General features: G+C 37.7%; 1 protein-coding gene across 7 annotated transcripts in view; it reads right to left on the minus strand.

Annotated features, from left to right (window-relative positions):
• STAG1 (STAG1 cohesin complex component) overlaps nt 1–25,116 on the minus strand; it is a 416,143-nt gene that overhangs the window by 156,377 nt on the left and 234,650 nt on the right. For all 7 annotated transcript variants that reach the window (XR_001739978.2, NM_005862.3, XM_047447229.1 and 4 more), the window contains 2 exons: nt 10,016–10,167; nt 7,611–7,684 (listed from right to left, as the gene is read on the minus strand). Coding sequence is in view for 6 of the 7 variants with exons in the window: in NM_005862.3 (NP_005853.2) it covers nt 7,611–7,684; nt 10,016–10,167 (226 nt within the window). In the remaining variant the exon portion in view is untranslated. The remainder of the gene's footprint in view (nt 1–7,610; nt 7,685–10,015; nt 10,168–25,116) is intronic.

A 25,116-nucleotide genomic window follows, 5' to 3' on the forward strand; every position in this document is an offset into this window, starting at 1 on the left:
ACACAAGATGAGCCCTAAGACTGCCCCCAGATATTTACATGCCATTTAACAGTTTAAGCAGGGTAAAATTTACCTTACAAGGGACACAAAATGAAGTCCTTCAAACTGCAAGGGAATAACACGATACAATAACTAAATTCCACGGGAAAAAATGAAGAATGTCAAAAATGTTAACAAGAAAGTAAATTAGAAGACAGTAAGTGTATTTGTATTTTCTCCTCTTAATTTTGTTAAGAGATGACTGAACACTCTGAAAATAATGCTGTACAGGTGGGTTAGTAACTAATGTAGACAAAATATATATGACAATAATAGCACAAAGGAAGGACAAGAAAATGAAGCTGGGCTAGAGCAGTGCTTTGTGGAAAATTTAGAGCTTATAAGGGGAGTTGAGAAAGGAGGAAGGATATAAAATGAATAATTTTAGTTTTCAACTTAAGAAACAATTAGGCCAGGCATGATAGTTCACACCTAATCACAGCACTTTGGGAGGCTGAGGGTGGTAAATGGCTTGAGCCCAGGAATTTGAGACCAGCCTGGGCAACATGGCGAAACTTCGTCTCTACTGAAAATACAAAAAATTAACCAGGTATGGTAGTGTGTGCCTGTAGTCCCAGCTACTCAGGAGGCTGAGGTGGGAAGATCACCTGAGCCCAGGATGTTGAGGCTGAAGTGAGCTGTGATTGTGCAACTGCACTCCCACCTGGGTGACAGAGTAAAACCCTGTCTCAAAAAAACCAAACCAAACCAAAACAAAAAGATCAGCAAAGGATGGCTCACACCTGTAATCCCATCACTTTGGGAGGCTAAGGCAGGTGGATCACTTGAGTCCAGGAGTTCAACACGAGCCTGGACAACATGGCCAAACCCTGACTCTACAAAAATAACAAAAATTAGCCAGGCATAGTGATGTGTGCTTGTAGTCCCAACTACTCAGGGGGCTGAGGCGGGAGTACTGCTTGAGCCCGTGAAGTCAAGGCTGCAGTGAGCAATGATCATGACACTGCACTCCAGCTTGGACAACAGAGCGAGATCCTGTCTCCGAAAAAAAAAAAAAAAAAACAACACAAATAATAAATATGGAAACATAAATCAAGGAAATAAAAAACAGAGAAAGCCAACAAAATTACAAGTCCATTATTATTTGAAAAGATCAACAAAACAAACTTACAGTGAAACTGAGAAAGACAAAAGAGAAGACACAAATCACACAAGAATAAATAAGGGGGCTGACAACCCCCCAAAAATTAAAACAACTACAAAATATTATGAATAACATTATGCCATTAAATTTACAATTTGCATGAAATAGACATATTGCCTGAGAAATACAAATTACCAAATCTGACTCAAAAACAACAAAAAATCTGGCGGTGTGCAGGGCGCAGTGGCTCACACCTATAATCCTAGTACTTTGGGAGGCCGAAGCAGAAGGACTGCTTGAGGTCAAGAGTTCTAACCATTCTGGGCAAAACAGGGAGAAGCCCTAGTTTCTAGAAAAAATAAAAAATTGGCCAGGTGTCGTGAAGCTTGCCTGCAGTCCTAGCTACTTGGGAGCTGAGGCAGGAGGACTGCTTGAGCCCAGGACATTGAGGTTCTACGGAGTTGTGATTGTGCCACTGCACTCCAGGCAGGGTGACAGACAGAGACCCTGTCTCAAGAAAATAAATTAATAAAAAACAAAACAAAACTTAAAAAAATTCAGGATATATAAATTGAATCAGTAATTAAAAACCTTTACACAAAGAAAAGCCTGGTATTAAAGGGCTTCTCTGCTGAAATCTACCAAACATAGAAATATTACCAATCCTTCATAAATTCTTTCAGAAAACAGAGCAGGAAGAATAGTTCCCAGTGTATTCTATAAGGCTAGTATTGACACTGTTATTCCTTATGAAAGTAAATGCACAAATCCTTAACAAAATACTAGCAAACTGAATCCAGTAGCATATAAAAAGGATTGTATACCATAACCATGTGGAATTTCTCCCAGAATGCAAGGTTGGTATAATATCTGAAAATCAATGAACACAATACACTATATTAATATAATAAAAGAAAAAACCTGCATGACCACCTCATTCAAAACAGAAAAAATAAAGAAATACATCAATCCATCATGATAAAAACACCCAACAAATCAGGCTAGAAGTAAATTCCTCATCCTACTAAAGGGTATCTACACAAAACTTAGTTAATAACATCGTGCCTAATTTCAAAGTCTAATTGTTTCCCCATTAAGATAAGGAATAAATTCTATATTGTTAAGAGGTTAATTCTCTCCAAATTGGTTCACAAGGTAATTACAATCCCTATGATAATTTCAGAAGCTTTTGTTCAAAAATTGACAAGCTGACCCTAAGATTTATACAGAAATGCAAAGAATCTGTACCAGTCAAAAAATTTTTGAAAACGAAGAATAAAGTAAGACAACTTACACTACCTAATTTTAAAAGCTCATCTAAAGCATACTCAATGCAGGTGGTATCAGTGTAAGGATAGACAGAAAATCCAAAAATAAAACCTTGTGTTTATGGTCAATTCATCTTCAAGAGAGATGGCATGGTAATTCAATTGGGGAAAGATACTTTGTCATTAAATGGTGCTGGGAAAACTGAAAATTTGTATGCAAAAAGTAGACTTCTGCCCTTATATCACGTCATCTACAAAAATTGAATTAAAAATTCAATTTTAAAGGTTCATATGCCTTAATAGAAGAGACAAAATGATTAAACTTCGAAAATAAAACACAGAAGAAATCTTAGGGGTTAGGCAATGTTCACAGATACCAAAAGCATGACCACAGAAGAAAAACTCATAAACTGGGCCATACAAATTGAAAACATTTGCTCTGTAAAGGTCACCATCAAGAAAATGAAAAAAAGCTATACATCTGTTCACGAACTTATATCAAGAATATCAGCCAGGTGTGGTGGCATGGATGGCACGGTGGCTCATGTCTGTAATCCCAGCACTTTGGGAGGCCAAGGTGGGTGGATCACTTGAGGTCAAGAGTTCGAGACCAGCCTGACCAACATGGTGAAACTCCGCCTCTATTAAAAATACAAAATTAGGGCCGGGCACGGTGGCTCATACCTATAATTCCAGCATGTTGGGAGGCTGAGGCAGGTGGCTCGTGAGGTCAAGAGATCAAGACCATCCTGGATAACACGGTGAAACCCCATCTCTACTAAAAATACAAAAAAATTAGCCAGGCATGGTGGCAGGCGCCTGTAGTCCCAGCTACTCGGGAGGCTGAGGCAGGAGAATGGCGTGAACCTGGGAGGCGGAGCTTGCAGAGAGCAGAGACCGTGCACCACTGCACTCCAGCCTGGGTGACAGAGCAAGACTCCGTCTCAAAAAAAAAAAAAAAAAAAAAAAATTAGCTGGGCGTGGTGGTGCATGCCTGTAATCCCAGCTACTTGGGAGGCTGAGGCAGGAGAACCACTTGGATCTGGGAGGCAGAGGTTGCAGTGAGCTGAGATTGTACCACTGCACTCCAGCCTGGGCAACAAGAGGGAGACTCCGTCTCAAAAAACAAACAAACAAACAAAAAAACCCCCAAAAAACACAGAAAGTACTCCTATAAACCCTTCTTAATAATTGTTAGAATAAACAGACCGAAAATCAGTAAAGAGAGAGAAGACTTGAACAACACTATTAACCAATTTGACCTAACTGGTATAAGACGCTAGCCAACAAAAGCAGAATATACCTTATTTTCTTGAGGTATAGAGATCTATAGGTATCTATAGGTATCTATTCACCAAGATAGAGTTTACTGTGGGTCTCATACAAATCTCAATAAATTTAGAAGCATTCAAATCATACAAACTATGTTCTTTGACTACATTGAAATTAAATTAGAAATCAATAACAGAAAGGTATCTAGAAAATCCTCAAATATCTGCACACTAAATGCCATGCTTCAAAATAATCCATGGGTGAAACAAAAAAATCAAAAAGGAAACTAGACAGTATTTTGAACTAAATAAAAAATGCAATATATCCAAATTTAGGACACATAGCTAAAGCAGTGCTTTAAAAAATTTATAGGAGTAAATTCCCTTATTAGAAAAAAAGTGTCAAATCAATGACCTCAAATTCTACCTTGAGAAACTAAGAAGAGCTGAAGAAGTGAAACCCAAAGTGAGCAGATGAAAGGAAATAAAGGACAGAAATCAATGAAATAGAAAACAAAAATAATAGAAAAATTCAATATAAAATAAGATAAAATAGCTCCACATACACTGAACAATGAAAAGAGAAAAGCGGGAAGGAAGCAGGGGGAAAAGGAGTGGGAGAGAGAGAGGGAGAGAGAGAGAGATGTTAAATTACCAATATTATGACCAACTTTATGCTGATAGTTTTTTAATACAACTCAACCACCAAGATGAATGTACCAATTTCTTATAAGACATAAACTACCAAAGTTTACTCAGGAACAACAGATAACCTCAACAGCCCTATATCTACTGGAGAAAATTCATACTTAAAAACCTTCCTGCAAAGAAAATTCTAGGCTCCAATGGTAGAACTCTTATCTGAAGAAGAAATAATACCAGTTCTATCAAACTCACCGAGAAAATTAAAGAAGAGAGAATACACTGTAACTCAATCTACAAGGCCAGCATTACCTTGCTAACAAAGGTAGACAGTGATATTCATTAAAATAAAGTTAGAGCTATTTATCCCTCTTGAACATAGATGCAGAAATTCTTGGAAAAACTCAGCAAATCACATACAACCATATATAGATAAAAACATATCATGATAATGTGGGCTTTATGCGTTCATGTTAACATCTGAACATAAATTCACCACATTAAGTCTTTAAAAAATAAAACAACACACTGATCTCAATAGATGCAGAAAAAGATTTGACAAAATCCAAGATATATTCCTAATAAAAACTCTCAGAAAACTAGGAATAAAAAGAAACTTCCGGCTGGGCGCGATGGCTCATGCCTGTAACCCCAGCACTTTGGGAGGCCGAGGCGGGCGGATCACCAGGTCAGGAGATCGAGACCACCCTGGCTAACACGGTGAAACCCTGTCTCTAGTTAAAAAAAAAATAAAATAAATACAAAAAATTAGCTGGGCGTGGTGGCAGGCGCCTGTACTCCCAGCTACTTGGGAGGCTGAGGCAGGAGAATGGCGTGAACCCGGGAGGTGGAGCTTGCAGTGAGCCGAGATCGCGCCACTGCACTCTAGCCTGGGCAACAGAGCGAGACTCATCTCAAAAAAAAAAAAAATTCCTCAATCTGATAAGGGGCATCTATGAAAATATTACAGCTAGGCCGGGCCTGGTGGCTCACGACTATAATCCCAGCACTTTGGGAGGCCAAGGCAGGCAGATCACCTGAGGTCAGGAGTTCGAGACCAGCCTGACCAACAGGGAGAAACTCCGTCTCTACTAAAAATACAAAATTAGCTGGGCGTGGCAGAGCATGCCTGTAATCCCAGCTACTTGGAAGGCTGAGGCAGGACAATCACTTGAACCCGGGAGGCGGAGGTTGCAGTGAGCCGACATTGTGCCAGTGCACTCCAGCCTGGGCAACAAGAGCAAAACTCCATCTTAAAAAAAAAAAAAAAAATTATATATATATATATATATATATACACATACATATACATACACACACACACACACACACACACCACACACACATACACACACACACACACACACACATATATATACACATTACGGCTAGCAACGCATTCAATGATAAAAAAAACTCTGACTTTGTTCAGAGAAAGAAGCCAGATCCGCCCACAAAAAAAAAACCCAGATATGTTGCATAATTCCATTTCTATAAAATTCTAGAAAATGTAAATAATCAGCACATCAATGCTTGCTTGAGGATGATGGAAAGGTAGAACAACAGGAAGGGAGGTAGAAAGGAGTTACAAAGTGCCATGAGAAAACTTGGCACTTGAATTTCTTAAGGATGATGGAGAGATTCATTATCTCGCTTGTGGTGGTGGTTTTATAGGTGTATATATGTCAAAACTCATCAAATTATGCACTTAAATGTGCAGTTTATTTATGTGAATTAGACCTCCATAAAGTTGCAGTAAAAAAAAAAAAACAAAGACTGCATGGCAGGTATATGCAAATCCTTGTTCTTTTTAAAACAAATATATCAATAACATGTTATACATGCAGTATATGCAAGAAAGCAGACATAAAACTCCAATCAGACAATCCACACTGAACATAAAAGCCCTGGACCTATTTCAAAAGAACATTTTATTCTTTTGGTTAAAATGTTTAAGTTCCATTAAAATAAATTATCAAACAGATACACATACACACACAACTTGCCACTTGGTATACACAGGGGATTGCTTCTCGGACTGCTCACATATAGCAAAATCCATGCATACTCAAGTACTACAGCTGTCTCTGAGTAATCTGCATATTCAACAAGTTAGACCTCCATGTAAACAGGTTTCGTATCCCACAAATACTGTATTTTCAATCCGTGTTTAGTTAGAAACAAATGGTTTACAGGCAATTCTTGCAGTTCAAACCCATGTTGTTCAAAGGTCAGCTGTGTATGTGTGTATTTCTTTGTTTTGTTTTAGACAGGGTCTTGTTCTGTCACCCAGACTGGAGTGCAGTGGCGCAATCAAGGCTCACTGCAGCCTTGACCCTCTGGTTCAGGCAATCCTCCCACCTCAGCCTCCCGAGTAGCTGGGACTACAAGTGCACACTACCACACCGGGCTGATTTTTAAATTTTCTGTAGAGATGCAGTCTTTAACTCCTGGCCTCAAGTGATCCTCCCACCTTAGCCTCCCAAAGTGTTAGGATTACAGGGATGAGCGACCACATCCCACCGCTCTATATTAATTAGCCAAATATACTCTCAAATGGGTCTGAAAACAGTGCTTCTATTTATTATCTTTGTCTATCTACTTACACACATCACATCTAATCAACAGAAGGTAACAAGTATATGTATATGATTCATTCACTCAATGTAAAATATGCTCTTTTACAATGTAGTTAGTGTTTTTAAGGTTCCTGGGCTTCACAGAAAGACAAACTAAAATCATTAGCAATGGAGGATAACAAAAATATTTTGCTAATGGCTTTTATTTCAATGTGTTTATCTGAAAGGAAACAAGAATGAAGATACAGTTGTTGCATTAACTGCGGGGTTGCCCTTCTCTGTCCTCTTTTCGCCCAGCTTCACACAGGTTTTTTTTTTTTTTAAATTATTAATTTGCCCATGGAACAAAATGAGTACCACAGAGCAAGAAGTAGGGCACTTAATTTTTTAAATGTGAAAACAAGAATATCTTATTAAAGCTACATTAGTTTATGATCCTATTAATTAATATTCCATCAGTATAAATCCAAGTACATAAGCTACTTCCAACAGCATATGTTCTGAATTTGGAAGAGTATAACAGTGGTAGTGGCAGCAGTCATACAATTTCTTCTATAGTTGTAGTGTGACACTGACAGCCAAAGTTGTTTTCCAGAAAACAAAACATAAATCATAATTAGTGAGTTTTACAGTTAGCCTGGGCCACAAAAAAAATCAATAATTGTTTAAGTGAAAAGCCTTCAAAATTATTTTTAAAATCTCTTACCGGTATCTATGAACAAATATACCCTTAAAAATAGAGTTCATCATATTTTCGATTTCATCCTGATTTTCTTGCAGCTGAAATGAAAAAATATATATAAGTTGAAATCCTGATCATTTTATTTGGAAGGAACAGCTCCAATTGTTTTTAATTCCTGGTTATTTTCATTCTGGGTAGTTTTCAATCCTTTTCTCACTTGTAGTACAGATGTGTGAAAATACCAGTATATTTCCATTATTCCTTTACATTTATATCATATTGGTTTTAGAACTTTTCACTGTCTCTCTCTAGACACAAACTTCACAATCACAAACAAGGAGTGGTGGTATAGCTAAGTGTGGTCAGATTCCTATCTCCAAAATATCATCTGCCTTAGGAACAGAACTCTTCTGTCTAAATCAGGTCCCTGGGTTTGGTTTTGCCTTTCTTGGTTAAAGGAACATCCCTAATTAACATATTTGCTGTTCTAAAAGTAACTTCCTACTCCATCTAATGTATCCAAACATTACTCTGCATCTCACTAGCCTGTAACAGACAGCAGGCCAAGTTCCCAATAAGAGGTATAACAGAAGATAAAAAGGATCCTGGCTACTTATGGTGAAGTACAGTAACAAAATAAATAGTATCTATGGCAAAGATACAAATTTCAGGCAACAAAACTGATCAGAGTTAAAGTTTGTGTTTATTATTACTCAAAAACAACAACAGCACTGAATTACATTCAAGGTGGTATCTACTATTCTAATTTATTCTGTAATTTACTGTATAGTAATATTCAGTGAAATATTTGCTTTTACTACATACATGAATGTTGACAATAAAATTCCCTCAGATTTATTCTTTTGCTGTATGCTTTGTTTCAGGCTTTACTAAAATAAGTTTGGGAATACTTTTATTGCAAAATCATTCAAATTTCTGCAACTTCCTCCAAGTGTTAAAAATTATTTTTATTGCATTTATCATATAAAAACTAATTAATTTATAAGAGGCATACATTTCTGAGTCAGCAGTACTTACGAAAGCCCAGCTCTAGTATTTACTTCTATAATATTTCAAGTATGGTATGTGTGAAGGGTTAAACTATGTTCCTTAAAAATTTGTACATTGAAGTTCTAACCCCTAGTACCTCAGAATGTGAAATTAGGAGAGGACTGTGGCAGATTTAATTCATTAAGATGCAGCCATACTGGAGTAGGGGAGGACCCTAATCCAATATGACTGATGTCCTTAAGAAGGGAATAAATTTGGGGACAAACATACACACAGGAAGAATGTCATGCAAAGATTGGAATTATGCTGCCACCAGCCAAGCAACTACCAGACACTAGGAGAGAAGTCTGGAACACAACCTTCCGAGCGAGGATGGCCCTGCCAACACCTTGATCTTGGAATTCTAGCCTGCAAGCCTGTGAGATTATAATAATGTTATTTTGTTTAATTCGTTCAGTTTGTGGTACTTTGTCACAGCAGCCCTATCAAACTAATACAGTATGGCTAATAATCAAAACATCGTTGCTTTTTCTTGCCTATTATAAACCCATTAAGTTATTATTCATACGTAATTCCTTTGCTGTAATGTGATATTCTTTTTTCAAGTTATAAGATAGACTAATAGTGCAGATCTAAGATTTTATGTAGTATTGGATAAATAAAAATGTTTCCTATTAAAAACCCAGTATAGGCCGGGCACAGTGGCTCATGCCTGTAATCTCAGCACTTTGGGAGGCCGAGGTGGGCGGATCACCTGAGGTTGGGAGTTCGAGACCAGCCTGACCAACATGGAGAAACCCCATCTCTACTAAAAATACAAAATTAGCCAGGAGTGGTGGCACATGCCTGTACTCCCAGCTACTTGGGAGGCTGAGGCAGGAGAATTGCTTTTGGGGAGGTGGAGGTTGCGGTGAGTTGAGATCGCACCATTGCACTCGAGCCTGGGCAACAAGAGCGAAACTCCATCCCCCAAAAAAAAAACAGTATAAAATCATTTTTAACACATATATGAAAATGTCATTGTAAAACTGAGACCAATCTTATTCATAGGAGTGCCTTATATACCAGCTAGTATGTAGCCTTTAGCTTTTTCCTGGAAATGTAGCTTTGCTGGCTCACGGTTCTGACTTCAGTATTTATCATACTTTTTGAGCCTATAGCCTTATAACCTTTTTGAGTTGCCTAACTCCCAGACCAACTTCTTTCAAAAACAGAGGTGTTCTATGATTCCTTTCTGCCATCAGACGGCACTTACATGATCACCAATGAACACTCCAGCTTCATTTGGAAACCCTGACATCAAATAATCTAACTAAATATACACATAAACCTTTTTACAGGGAACTTAAAAAGTACTAATGTCATATATATTCCACACATTTACAGAACATAAAATCATCAGTTCCCATGAAACTTACCTCTTTGCGTTTCTGAAGTAGTAACTCCAACCTTTCATTGGCTCTCTTCCCAATCATTTTATTTCTCTCGGCTTCATATTGTCTCTGGGTATTATCCTGATGAATACTGAGGTTTAAGGCAACATTCACCAGAGCAGTCATGAGCTTCATGGCTATGAAATGAAGAAATATTATAATACCTATGAATCAAAACTTTATCCATATAAGATTACAAATTTATAAAGCCAATGGATGAAGAAATGAAACTAGTGAATTTCTGTTTTACAACCCAGGCATAATTTAAGTTTAAATAAAAGATAACTAATTTATAGAAATAAACTCATCTGCAACATAATTTTCTCTACCTCAGCTTGGCTTGTTAACACTTTCCATTTAAACACAGCCTCATCCTAACTAACAGAAGAAAGGATTTCAGTTCTATCTTCAACAACTCCTTTCTCCTACTCCTAAAAATACACACGTAAGGGCACACTAATCAAGCCTAAACCTCTCTACTGATCATCAAATATGAGTATATATAAATGCATCCTTAGTACCTTTACTTAAATGTGTCAAAGGTACCTTAGATGTTTTAGATGTTTACAATCAATTTGTGATCTTTACCCCCATATATGGTCCTCTCCCTTTGTTCCTCACCTCAGAGAGTTGCACAACCTCCAAACCCTGAAAAACATACTAATCCTACCAAACTCATTGAAGTCCATTAAAAATGTACTTTGTGAATTTCCAATTGACCTATCCTCCCCAGCCACAGTGATAATGTACTTTTAAACGTTCACTTGTATTTGTAAATCTTATTAAACACTTTCAAATTTGTTTCACATCCTCTGACAAACAGGTATGACACAAACCTCAAACTTCTGTCTGTTCATATTTGTTTTCATCATTGAGATAGTGAGAATATGGGAAATACAGGTAAAGGAACAAGACAGTTTGAGCTGGTAAATAATTTCCCCTTTTTGCTCCTTTTAGGTTATTCATGTGCAAGTATGAACATTTGGTTATTAAAAAAACTGAACTGTTCAGTGCTTTAGAAGAACTGATTCATTTATCTGCAAACATATCCATATAATTAAAAACAAGCATGCACTGTTTCTAAAATTTCATTATTTTTATTTTTTTTTTGAGTTGGAGTTTCGCTCTTGTTGCCCAGGCTGGAGTGCAATGGCGCAATCTTGGCTTACTGCAACCTCCACCTCCCAGGTTCAAGTGATTCTCCTGCCTCAGCCTCCGGAGTAGCTGGGATTACAGACATGCACCACCACGCCCAGCTAATTACTGTATTTTTTAGTAGAGACAGGGTTTCACCATGTTGGCCAGGCGGGTTTTGAACTCCCGATCTCAGGTGATCCGCCCACCTTGGCCTCCCAAAGTGCTGGGATTACAGGCATGAGCCACCGCACCCGGCCTATTTTTTCTTAATTACATATGTAAACATATGTGTTTTCTAAATACATATAGTATGTATGTATGCTGTATCTGTATTTCTATCTACACGTATACTCAATTTGTTATTCGGAAACTCTATCTACATTTTGATCAGTTCTATGTTATTAAATAATTGCTGCTGTCCTTAAACCAAAATATAAGGTAAAAAACCTGAAAAACAAATGTAAACATCCTGAAAAAACAAACGTGTTTAAGTTAGTGACCATTACAATGCAAAATTATAATGCAAAAATCCTGAAAAACAAATTTATTTAAATTAGTGACCAGAAATGGATTTTTCAGGATTTTTGCATTAGAAATGAATTAAATGAAAATGTTTCTTTCCCTGTGGTAGTGTCTCAAACAGTAAACTGAGAAATATTCTTGTGTTTCAAAATATAAGACAGTGATTTTGAGTTTTGTGTGTTGCCAGTAGTAGTATATTGGACTACACTATGAAAGTTTAAAATAATTTGTAAAATTAAACTGTATAAGGAAAGAGAACAGCTCAAAGACAAGAGGAATCTGGAGCATTCCAACTACTCAAGCTGATAATACTAGTTTATCAGTGTTTGTTATGAGCATATGAAGTGACACCCAAAGGAGCTTAATTCAGTATCTACCTCTACATACCTAACGCAAAATGACTTGAATATCCAGGAGCTGAAAAGCATTAAAATTAACACCAACCCTGGTTGCAATTCACCAGTGGAAACTGAGGCACGGCTTTTTAAAAACTTCATAGCTTTTACTTTCAGCTGTATATCTTCTTGTGAACCCAGATCCCAAACTCCAAATGTCATTATTTAATGACTCTCCTTCCATCCCAGATACATAAACAGTAAAGTAATCAACATACTAAAACAGACAAGACATGTTAAAAATGATCAATATATCTTCGGAAACATATTAGGTATAATACAGCAGTGTTTACTGAGATAAAATATTTTTAAACCTGTAAAACTGAGACTTCATTGAATAACACATAAACAGCTATTAAAAACAAACCTCAAATTAAATGACAGACATAAAATGAGGATTATGATGTTTTAATTGAGTCCACTGAAAAAGACTTATCTCTGCATAGAATTGGTACTTATCAAATTTTCCTGGTATTACTAAAAAAACCTTTTTGTAAGTTAATAATCCTGCAGGAATTCAGCCATCATAATGTGACATCAGCTCTTAAGTGGCTTCTTCTTGTCTAGCAAGGAGAAGAATACGTCCTTCATTTAGCTTTCACATTTTAACTGCTGACTATAAAATGGTAAATATGTTCTAGTACAGTGGTACTGATAGTGTCGTCTGCAAATGGGTGCTGACCACAACAAGTTTATTAGAAGGTCATTATGAGCAAAAAATTGAAAACATTTAGAAGTTTTTATAGCAATCTGACAATTTAATGCCTGTTGATTTTAATAACATGACACTAATAAATACATATATACTATTTCCACCGCATTTTACAAAAGTACTAGGTTGTGACAGATTCGTAATTAAAAACTAGTCATTCATCATAGCTAAAGAAGCACTTATTTAAAGTCCTGTCCATTCATCTAACAATCCAGCATATACTGAGCATTGTTCTAGTTATTAGAGATACACAAGTGAACAAAACAAACAACTTCCTTTTGTGATTTTTACATTCTAGTGAGGAAAAGAAGACAATAAATGAATAGGTAATATGCAAATGAAAAAACCACGTCAGTTAATGATTAAGGGGGTGCTATTTTAGATGGTCATTTGGGAAGGCCTCTCTGAGACCTTGACATTTGAGCATGAAGTGAAGGAATGGTCACATGATTCCACAGCAGAACAGCTTTCCAGGGACAGTTATAAGGTAAACTGTTGGGAGGAGGGTACTCACTACAGAGTATAGTATTTAGTCTGGTTGGAGCACAGAGGTAGTCAGAGGCAGAAGAAGATACTTAAAAGGAAGGAAGAGGCCAGATTATAAGAGAGTTACTAGGATCCAGTTAACCTATCCTCTCCTTAAGGCTCATGAATTAAATCTAAGCAGGGTAAGATGTCCTAGAGAATGTGGAGTGATGTGAAACAGTCTGAATTAGATTTTAAACTGATGTGTGACCAGAGTATAGGACAGTAAAACTGGAAGAAGGGAGACTAAATAGGAGCAGTGAGGCAGAGCTGAAAATATTTTGCTCAAAGTTTGCAATAATGAGTCTTAGGTTTTTGCCTTTGGCAACTCAGTGAAATGATGCTGGCTTAGATTAACGTGGCAGCAATAGGTAGAGAGAAATTGTTAGATATGAAGTGTATTTTGAAAATACCAGGCCAGGCGAGGGGGCTCACGCCTGTAATCCCAGCACTTTGGGAGTCTGAGGCAGGTGGATCACTGGAGGTCAGGAGTTCAAGACCAGCCTGGCCAACATGGTGAAACCCCGTGTCTACTAAAAATACAAAAAAAAAAAAAAAAAAAATTTCCCAGATGTGGTGACGCACGCCAGTAATCCCAGCTACTCGGTAGGCTGAGGCAGGAGAATGGCTTGAACCCAGGAGGTAGAGATTGCAGTGAGCTGAGGCTGCACCACTGCACTCCAGCCTGTGAGACACAGCAAGACTCCACCTCAAAAAAAAAAAAAAAAAGAAAAGAAAAAGAAAAAGAATATACTGCTGAAAGAATTTGTTAGATTACAATGAAGGAAATGAGATAAATGGAAAGGGCAAAGATAATTAGAAATATTTTTGTTTATTAGTTATGTAAGTGGAAATGCCTAGTAGACACACATTTGGAAGTCATTATCAAAGACACTGGTATTCAGAACCATAAAACTAGATGGAAATTAGAAAAAGGTGGTATTATTTGTGTGTTGTAAACAAAAGATCACCAAGATATTTGTTAATGGAAAAATACAGACAAGATAGCCTTACAGTGTGTATATGCTATCATTTGTGCAAAAGAATGTATTATTTATTTTTACTTGCCAGTCACTCTTCCAAGCCGTATAAACATACTTATTCATTTACAACTCACAAATCTACGAAGGAAGTACTATTATTAGTTCCTTTTCACATTAAGAGAAAACTGAGGCACAGATCAGCTAAAAGACTTGATGGTTACATAGCAATTGGTGGACATAGAATTTGAGTATAGGCAGCCTTGCTCCATAGTCCCAGCTCTTAAACACACCATATTGTCTCTCACTGAATGTGTATTTGCTATTATTTGCATATAACATGTTTAGAAAAACGTAAGAAACTGGCAACTTTGGTTGTCTTCAAGGAAGTTAATTTGAAGGTCAGAGACAGGGGTGAAAGAATAACATTTCACCATATAAAATTTTTTTACTTTTTGTTTTTCTTTTGAGACAAGGTCTTGCTCTGTCACTCAGAATAGAGCACAGTGGTGCAATCACAGCTCCCTGCAGCCTCGACCCCCACCAGGCTCAAGTGATCCTCTCATCTCAGCCTCCTGAGTAGCTGGGACTACAGCTACCACCATGCCCAGCTAATTAAAAAAAAAATTTTTTTGTAGAGATGGGGGTCCCACTATATTGCCCAGGTTGGTCTTGAACTCCTGGCCTCAAGTGATTCTCCCACGTCAGCCTCCCAAAGTGTTGGAATTACAGGGATGAACCGTAGTGCCTGGTCTACTTTGAATTTTAAATCATGTGACTATATTATTTTCCTACTCATCACTATTTTTTAATAAAAATAATGTCTATGAAATTGGTTTTCACTTTATTCAATAAGGAGTGAATACATTAAAAAAACCTGTCTGAAGATTGAGTGTCAAGATAACTCGATATTTGCAGTTTAGCTTTCTAAAATCACCAGGACAATGTGGTATTCCAGAAAACAAGTGAAGACAGTGTTCCAAGGAGAAAAAATGGTAGCTGTGTCTTTCCAAAGAAAAAAAGATGACAACTGGAGCTGCTCACTGATTTGGGCAATAAGAAGGTAACTGCTGACCTCAACAGGAGAGGTAGTGAAGTAGTAGAGACAGAAACCTAATAGGAGAGGACTGAGTGGAGAGAGTGAATATAAATAATTCTGAGATTTGCTATAAAGAAAAGGAGAAAAATGAAACTGGGGCTAGAGGAACGTGAGGGAACAAGGTACAGTGTAATGGTTAGTCTTATGTGTCCAGGCATGGCTAGACTATCACAGTCAATTACTTAATCAAACACTAATGCAGGAATTTTGTAGATATTCCTTGAAGGAATTTTGTAGATATTTTGTATGGTTAACACCTATAATCTCCTTTAAATAAAGGAGATTACCCTCAATAATGTGAGTGGGTCTCATGCAATCAGTTGAAAGCTTAAGAGAAAAAATAGGTTTTCTAGAGAGGAAATGTTTGCCTCAAGGCTGCAACATAAAGTCCTAGGCTGAGCATGATGGCTCACATCTGTAATCCCAGTGCTTTGTGAGGCAGAGGTGAAAGGATGACTTGAGGTCAGGAGTTCAAGACCAGCCTGGGTAACATAGCAAGACTCCATCTCTACAAAAAATTTAAAAATTACCTGGGCATTGAGATGTGCACCTGTAGTCTCAGCTACTGGGGAGGCCGAGGTGGGAGGATTACATAAACCCAGAATTCAAGGTTGCAGTAATCCACAACTGTGCCACTGCACTTCAGCCTGGGTGACAGAGTGAGACCCTGTCTCTAAAATAAATAAATAAGTAAATAAAATCCTGAGTTTCTAGCCTGCTCCACAGATCTCAGACTCAAGACTGCACGACTCCTGTCTGATTTCCAGCTTGCTGGGGTACCCTACAAATTTCCGATTTGCAAGTTCCCACAATTGTGCTGAGCCACATCAGTGAAACGTGTGTACGTGTGTGTGTGTCTGTGTGCGCGCGTGCGCGAGAGAGAGAGAGAGAGAGAGACAGAGACAGAGAAAGATGCAAGAATATCTCTTAGTTCTGTTTCTCTGGGGGAACCCAGACTGACACAAAGGGTTCCTAAAAGATGGGAGCTATTAGCAAAATAATGAGTTATCTAATAAAAGAAAGAAATTTTGAAGTAATGAGAGTGAGAACAACTTGAGAGACAAAGTTCTTGAGAAGGTGAAAAGGGATCAGATTCACAGTACAAGTACAAGCATTGGCCTTAGAGGCCACTGTAGTTAAGAAAACAGATAGAGGATAAGAGTATAACTGCAGCTAGATAGGTAGGTAGGCTTAATCCCTGAAGGATTCTCTTTCGACTATCCCGATTAAACAGGCAAGATAATCAGCTAAATGTGAAGACTGGATAGGAAATGTAGCTTTGAGGAGAAAGTATAAAACAATTTTGTTAGGATGTGGAAATAACCCTGGAGTATAATACACTAAGGGGATTGCTAGGCAGCATTAAAGGACCACTTGGAAAAAAAAAAAAAAAAAAGTAAAGCCCAGCCCTTATGGTATGTATTTTTCTCCAGCCACTTTCAGCTCTGCTGCAGGTATGGGAGAGATGGTTGTATGGGGTTTTCCTACGGAATATGAAAGAGGAAGACAGAAGCAAGGAAGTTGACGGTATGAAGGAAGATGTAATTATAATAAAGAATGATAAAATCTAAGTGGGAAAAATAAAGGCAGTGAGGACAAGAAGAGTGTGAAGAACATTAAAAACATAGTGTCAAAGTATTTAAAATCACAATTAAAAAAACAGTTGAGTGGAAACACAGAAGAAAACACTGGAACAAAAGGAGAGTTCATCAGGAAATGGGATGCCTAAAACGAAGTCGAAGGACACTGACCCTTTTAATCAATAACCAACAATTTGCATTTCTGTCTTGCTAAACATAAAACTGAAAAGTAAAAAACTGCATTTATATTTAGTGATACCTATTATACCTTTGAAAACTATTGTTATACACCTTGGAAATATGTCTGATATAGTGGAACAAACTAGATTTTTAAAGAGAGAGGTGATTATAGTACTTTATTTTTACAATGCTTATTTTTTTTAAAAGGGATCTTATGACAAACTACCAGTTTCCAAATGACATAGATTTAACAAATCCATTTATCTCTTAAAAAACAATTTTTCTGGAAAGCAGTGTTGCAGTTCCACAAAGACCTAAAAACAGAACTACCATTCAACCCATCAATCCCATTACTGGGTATATACCTGATATGGCTTGGCTCTGTGTCTCCACCCAAATCTTACCTCAAATTGTAATCCCCATAATCCCCACATGCCAAAGCGGGACCAGGTGGAGGTAACTGGGATCATGGGGGCAGTTTCCCACATGCTCTTCTCATGATAGTGAGTTCTTTGGATTATTTTTCTTATTTTTTGAGATGGAGTCTCATTCTGTCGCCCAGACGGGAGTGCAGTGGTGCGATCTCAGCTCACTGCAACCCCCGCCTCCCTGGTTCAAGTGATTCTCGTGCCTCAGCCTCCCTAGTGGCTGAAATTGCAGGCGCCCACCACCAGCCCAGCTAATTTTTGTATTTTTAGTAGAGATGAGGCTTTCACCATGTTGGCCAGGCTGGTCTCGAATGATCTGCCCTCTTCGGCCTCTAAAAGTGTTAGCATTACAGGCGTGAGCCACTGCACCCAGCCAATAGTGAGTTCTCACGAGATCTGATGGGATGTCTTTGTTTTTTTTTTTTTTTGAAGTGGAGTCTTGCTGTGTCACCAAGGCTGTGAATGCAGTGGTGCGATCTCAGCTCACTGCAACCTCCGCCCTCTGGGTTCAAGTGATTCTCCTGCCTCAGCCTCCAGAGTAGCTGGGATTACAGGTGCACGCCACCATGCCCAGCTAGGTTATTTTTTTCTTTTTGAGATGGAGTCTTGCTCTGTCGCCCAGTCTGGAGTGCAGTAGTGCAATCTTGACTCACTGCAACCTCCACCTCCCAGGTTCAAGCGATTCTTCTGCCTCAGCCTTGTAGCTGGGATTACAGGCACGCACCACCATGCCCGGCTAATTTTGTATTTTTAGTAGAGATAGGTTTCACCATGTTGGCCAGGCTAGTCTCGAACTCCTGACCTCAAGTAATCCACCTGTCTCGGCCTCCCAAAGTGCTGGGATTACAGGCATGAGCCACTGCACCTGGCCTGAGATCTGACGGTTTTATACGTCTCTGGCATTTCCCCTGCTTGCACTCACTTCCATCCAGCTGCCCTGTGAAGAATGTGCCTGCTTCTCCTTTGCATTCTGCCATGATTGTAAGTTTCCTGAGGCTTCCCTAGCAATGCAGAACTGTGTGTCAATTAAATCTCTTGCCTTTATGAATTACCCAGTCTAGGAGAATTCTTTATAGCAGTATGAAAACAGACTAATACAACACCCAAAGGAATATAAATCATTCTATCATAAAGACACATGGATGCACATGTTCACTGCAGCACTACTCATACTGGTAAAGACATGGAATCAACCTTAATGCCCAGCAATGGTAGACTGGTTAAAGAAAATGTGGTACATATACACCATGGAAGGCTTTGCAGCCATAAAAAAGAACGAGATCCTGTCTTTTGCAGGGACATGGATGGAGCTGGAGGCCATTATCCTTAGCAAACTAATGCAGGAAAGGAAAACCAAATACCTCATGTTCTCACTTATAAGTGGGAGCTAAACGATGAGAAAGCATGAACACACAGACAGAAACAACAGACAGTGAGGTCTAATGGAGGATGGAAGTCTAGAGGAGGGAGAGAGTCAGGAAATGTAACTAATGGGTACTAGGCTTAATACCTGGGTGACAAAATAATCTGTACAACAAGTCCCTGTGACATAAGCTTTCCTATATAACAAACCTGCACATGTACCCCTGAACGTCAAATAAAAGTTAAAAAATCAATTTTCATCTTCAACAAACTCAGAAAATACATGTAACCCCTAACCACAATATAAGAATATATTAATATGGACAGCAGGAGGATGAGCAGAGAGCATTTAAAATCACAGAAAGGGTAGAAAAAGCATGATAACCATATCTCTAAGAAAAACAAGCACTGGGCGTGTGGTGGTGGGCACACCTATAATCCTAGCACTTTGGGAGGCCAAGGTGGGAGGAAAGCTTGAGCCCAGGAATTTGAGACCAGACTAGGAAACACAGTAAGACCTCTTCTCTACAAAATAAAAAAAAAAAAAAAAAAAAAAAAGGAAAGGAAAGGAAAAGGAAAAAGAAAGAAAAGGAAAATTAGCCAGGTGTGATGGCACATGCCTGTAGTCCCAGCTTCAGGAGGCTAAGGCAGGAGGGTCAATTTAGCCCAGGAGGTTGAGGCTGCAGTAAGTTGTAATCATGCCACTGCACTCCAGCCTGGATGACAGAGCAAGACCCTGTCTCGAAAATAAAAATAAGCTATTTTAGCTTAGTAGAATCCAGACACCATCAGCTATTAGAAGTAGTAGGTTCCATAGAAGATGAAGTGTGTTATGGTCTGAAAATAGGAATATTATCTCAAAGTCTGTATAATAAGCAATTAAATCCCCAAGTCTCTACTCCAAGCCAGGCAGTCAAGCAATTCCTTTATGACACATTCATTTTGGAAGTCCAGACATTTATCTTCTCAAGAAAATAAACCAAAAATCCAGAGTCATCAGACATATGTGTGTGATTATGTTTGGTTTGTGTGAGTGCCCTGAGTGTTTCTTCATTCTATCTAACTCCAAAAGAGCAGACAGCAGCCAAGCTTAAGTGGACTGGAAGATCCTTCTGCAAAGAGGCTGAACTTCTCCAGGGAAGACAGTGATCACTAACAACAATTGAGGATCTATAAAAAAAAAAAAACTAACTGACCACCAGACTGCTCGATAGTGATGCTCACCAATCTGGAAGCCAGAGTCAATGTCCCATCATGCCAGAGGTGAACACACACACCCCTCTGCTATTGAGCTTTTTAGTATCTCACTATCAACAATAACTACAGAGCCAAGAAACAAATATTTGAGGAAAATGTCCAATATGAATTACAGTTTAAAAAGCAGAGAATAAGAAGAAAAAAGGTTAGGACTGACAGCAGAAGAAAACCTCAGAGAAATAATTAATACCATCAACGAAAAGGTATCTACGAAACACAGAATATTTCAAAAAAGGGAGACTTGGGCCGGGTGTAGTGGCCCAAGTGGCGGGGTGTAGGGCCTCCCAGCCCTTTGGGAGGCCGAGGCAGGCAGATCACCTGAGGTCAGGAGTTCGAGACCAACTGGCCGACATGGTGAAACCACATCTCTACTAAAAATGCAAAAATTAGCCAGGCATGGTGGCACATGCCTGTAATCTCAGCTACTCAGGAGGCTGAGGTCGGAGAGTATCCCTTGAACCCAGGAGGCATAGGTCATAGCGAGCCAAGATCGTGCCACCGTACTCCAGTCTGGGTGACAGAGCAAGACCCCGTCTCAAAAAAAAAAGGAAGACTTGGAAAATAAGAAAGAACTCTTAGAAATGTAAAAGGATACTCAAAATTAATAAACATGAGGTAACACAGTGGACAGAAAGGACAAAGAAATGGAAAATAAACATACATAACACTGTATCATCACAAAATTTCAGGATATCATCATGAAATTTCAGTAACAAACAAAAAAATCTGCAAAGCTTCCAAAGACAAGAAACAGGATCACAACCAGAAGTCTAAAATTAGCACTGGACTTCTCAACAGCAACTTTGGAAACGAGAAACAAAATCTTAAAAAAAAATTTTCAATTATGAAATTTAAATTGGGTCAAACTATTAAGCAAGAAGCTACAACATGTTTTTCAGGCACGTAAAGTCTCAAATACATATTTCCCAAATTGTCTTTTTCTCAAGAAACTATCAAAAAATATGCTACACAAAAAGGAGAGAACAAATTAAGAAAGAAAGAAAACAAAAGATAATAGGGGATCTAAAAAAGAAAGACAAAAAATTCAAACAGCAGAAACAATTAAGTAGCATCTAAATTTTAGAAAATGAGGCATAATTTTAAAAAATTAAAAGAAAAAAAGTCAAAAATTTGATCAGAACACTTGTTTAAAAATAAAACCAAAAAGCTTCACAAGTACACATGACAAAGAAACTTAAAATAACAAGTTATGGCATAGTCATAAGATGGTACCATTATAGAGAATTTTTATTTTTGTACTTTTCTCTTTTTCTGAATTCTCTGTAAGTAGTATATGTAATTTTATATACACTGAAAATATTCTAGTGTACAATATGAAAACGAAAAGTATGTTAAAACATTTTTCAAGTTCTGTGCCCTCTTTACAACCAAACCAAGTAAGCTTAGCTGTTCTCTATATTAAAATCACAAGGATATGAACAGACACTTCTCAAAAGAAGACATTTATGCAGCCAACAGACACATGAAAAAATGCTCATCATCACTGGTCATCGGAGAAATGCAAATCAAAACCACAGTAAGATACCATCTCACACCAGTTAGAATGGCAATCATTAAAAAGTCAGGAAACAACAGATGCTAGAGAGGATGTAGAGACATAGGAATGCTTTTACACTGTAAGTGGGAGTGTAAACTAGTTCAACCATTGTGGAAGACAGTGTGGTGATTCCCCAGTTATCTAGAACTAGAAATATCATTTGACCCAGCGATCCCATTACTGGCTATATACTCAAAGGATTATAAATCATGCTACTATAAAGACACATGCATACGTATATTTACTGCGACAATATTCACAATAGTAAAGACTTGGAACCAACCCAAATGTCCATCAATAATAGGCTGGATTAAGAAAATGTGGCACATATACACCATGGAATACTATGCAGCCATAAAAAAGGATGAGTTCACGTCCTTTGCAGGGGCATGGATGCAGCTGGAAACCATCATTCTCAGCAAACTATCACAAGGACAGAAAACCAAACACCGCATGTTCTCACTCATAGGTGGGAATTGAACACTGAGAACACTTGGACACAGGGTGGGGAACGTCACACACCAGGGCCTGTCGTGGGGTGGGGGCAGGGGGAGGGATAGCATTAGGAGAAATACCTAATGTAAATGATGAGCTAATGGAAGCAGCAAACCAACATGGCACATGTATACCTATGTAACAAACCTGCACATTGTGCACATGTACCCTAGAACTTAAAGTATAATTAAAAAAAAAATCACAACGTTGGGCTGGGCATGGTTGCTCAGGCCTGTAATCTCAGCGCTTTGGGAGGCCAAGGTGGGCGGACTGCCCGAGGTGAGGAGTTCGAGACTAGCCTGGCTAACATGATAAAACCCCGTCTCTCCCAAAAATACAAAAATTAGCTGGGTGTGGTAGTGCACGCCTGCAGTCCCAGCTACTCGGGAGGCTGAGGCAAGAGAATCACTTGAACTCAGGAGGGGGAGGTTGCAGGGAGCCAAGATTGTGCCACAGCACTCCAGCCTGGGTAACACAGTGAGACTCCATCTCAAAAACAACAACAACAAACAACATTAGACAATTACTAAGTGACTTATGTATGTTACATATTTAACAAAAATTATTTCATCTATATGACTCAGGAAACAAAAGATAAATTATTTCATTTAAGCTTCCCAATACTACCACGAGAAAGGATTATTAGTATCTATGCTATAAAGACGAAGAAAGGCACAGGAGTTACATAATTTGTCCAAAGTCACCAAGTTAATAAATTCAAGATATGTAATGCTTATAAAGTAATTTTTAAAATCCTTGTTTCTTTACAAAAACTGGCTGCCAAAAGAAAGCTAATTTTCAGAACCGATGATAGAACGTAAAAGACAATAATACTAAGAAAAAAGTTAGAAAATTTCAAGTTATTATAGACCTAAATATACAGATTCAAAAAAGTAATTACATTTTAAAGTTATACTTTATTTTATGGGTAAAACTACATGATATAGTGGTATTTGCAGATTTCACCAACTATTGGGCATTAATCCCACGAGAACATCAGAAGTCTGTTATATACAAACCCTAGAAAATTGAATAAAGATTTTATATCTGGAGGAGGGATGAAAAACACAACGGTGAAAAAGTAAAGTAAGACAAAGTAAAAGTACAAAGCAATGAAAAGGTCAAACTCTAGAAGAATTTTGAAAAATGAATATAAAAAAATAAAATGTAAATACAAAAAGGAAGAGCAATTATTTATACTACATGGTCTATTCTTTGATAATACCAGATTGCTCTAAAATTTTCACATCTTAACCATAGAAACCAGAAACAATCTGTGTGGTTAAAAATTATAAAATAATTATTGAATTTAATAAACAGAATATGGGTCCTGAGAGCCAAAAGATAAGTAAAATGAAAATGCAGGCTGGGTGTGGTTGTAATCCCAGCACTTTTAGAGGCCATGGTATGCAAACTGCTTGAATTCAGGAGTTCAAGGCCATGGGCAACATGGCGAAATCCCAACTCTACAAAAACTACAAAAAAATTAGCCGGATGTGGTGGCATGCACCTGTGGTCCCAGCTACTCGGGATGCTGAGGTGGAAGGATCGCTTGAGCCTGGGAAGCGGGGGTTGCAAGGAAACAAAACCATGCCACTGCACTGCAGCCTGGGCAACAGAGTGAGAATCAGAAAATAAACATACATTAAAAAAAAGCAAAAGAAAAGAAAATGCATGCTGTTCGTTTTCTTAACAGCGGTTCTTGAAAGTTTATCTACTTGTTTATTTATGATTTCCCCATCTGTCATGTCTTATTACTTTTTATTAAAATAGAACAAGCAAATCAATAAATTCTGAGTAAAACCATAAAGGAAGGGAAATATTGGCAAATACTATTATCCGTTTTTCTCATTAAAGAATAATAGAATAATAGCTGCAGCTTACTAAATGCCAAGCATTGTCCCAAGCACTCCTAATCTCTTTTCTTTCCCACTTTGCAAATAAAGAGAGTAAGACCAGTTATGTTAAGGACTTGTCCAAGGTTATCCAACTAGTAAAAGACAGAGACGAATATGAATTCAGACAGGCACGCCAGAACCCATTCTATCAACCACAGTATTACATGATTTCAGCAACTGAAGGCCAAATAAAAAGACTTCAATTTTCTGAGGCAAAATTATTTTCAGCCTCTGATCATAAATTAAAGCAATTTCATATGTCATTTCCTTCCTCAGAGGAAAAGTCTGGAGATGCTGATTCTATAAGAAAAGTTAATCAATAATGAATCATATGTGAATATAAAATCAACCATAAGGTATAAAGAAATGTTTATCCCTCAGGAGTCTGAGAGTGACTTATTGATAAGCACTGATGAAGACTGGCCTTGTGATGATCTTGACCACATTTTCTAATTTTTTCCCAAATTCATTTTAGGAGGGAAAAAAGAGAATAGAAACAATCTTCATGTCATTATTAGTACAAATTTTGTATTTTAACTCCCTTTTGTTCAAATTAGAACTTTAGAAGTCAGAGGCAGCCAGCATTAATATATTTATAACATCACAGAAAATTATGTAGGTGAGAAAATAACAAAATATTAAAACGTTAACCAACATTACTCAGCCTGAATGTTGCCCTCTAACAAAAATTTGAAGTCAACAAGTTGTAAAGTATTGGTATACATTTTAAAAGCAAATGTCTAAAAATAAACATAATCCTGAAAAGCAATTCTTTGAGAGTAAAATTTTAACTTCATAATACCAAACAAGAAAGTGGTAAAACAAAGAAAATCTTACCTATTTTTGAACTTAAAAGGAAAATATTCCCTCAAAAAATAAAAATGTCATCAAATTTGAAAATAAAAAAGTTCCCAGTCTCAGATTGTAAATCCACCAAAATAATTATGACACAATGTTT

The sequence above is a fragment of the Homo sapiens genome, chromosome 3 (assembly GCF_000001405.40).
Source record: "Homo sapiens chromosome 3, GRCh38.p14 Primary Assembly".
In the NCBI taxonomy this organism is placed as follows: domain Eukaryota; kingdom Metazoa; phylum Chordata; class Mammalia; order Primates; family Hominidae; genus Homo; species Homo sapiens.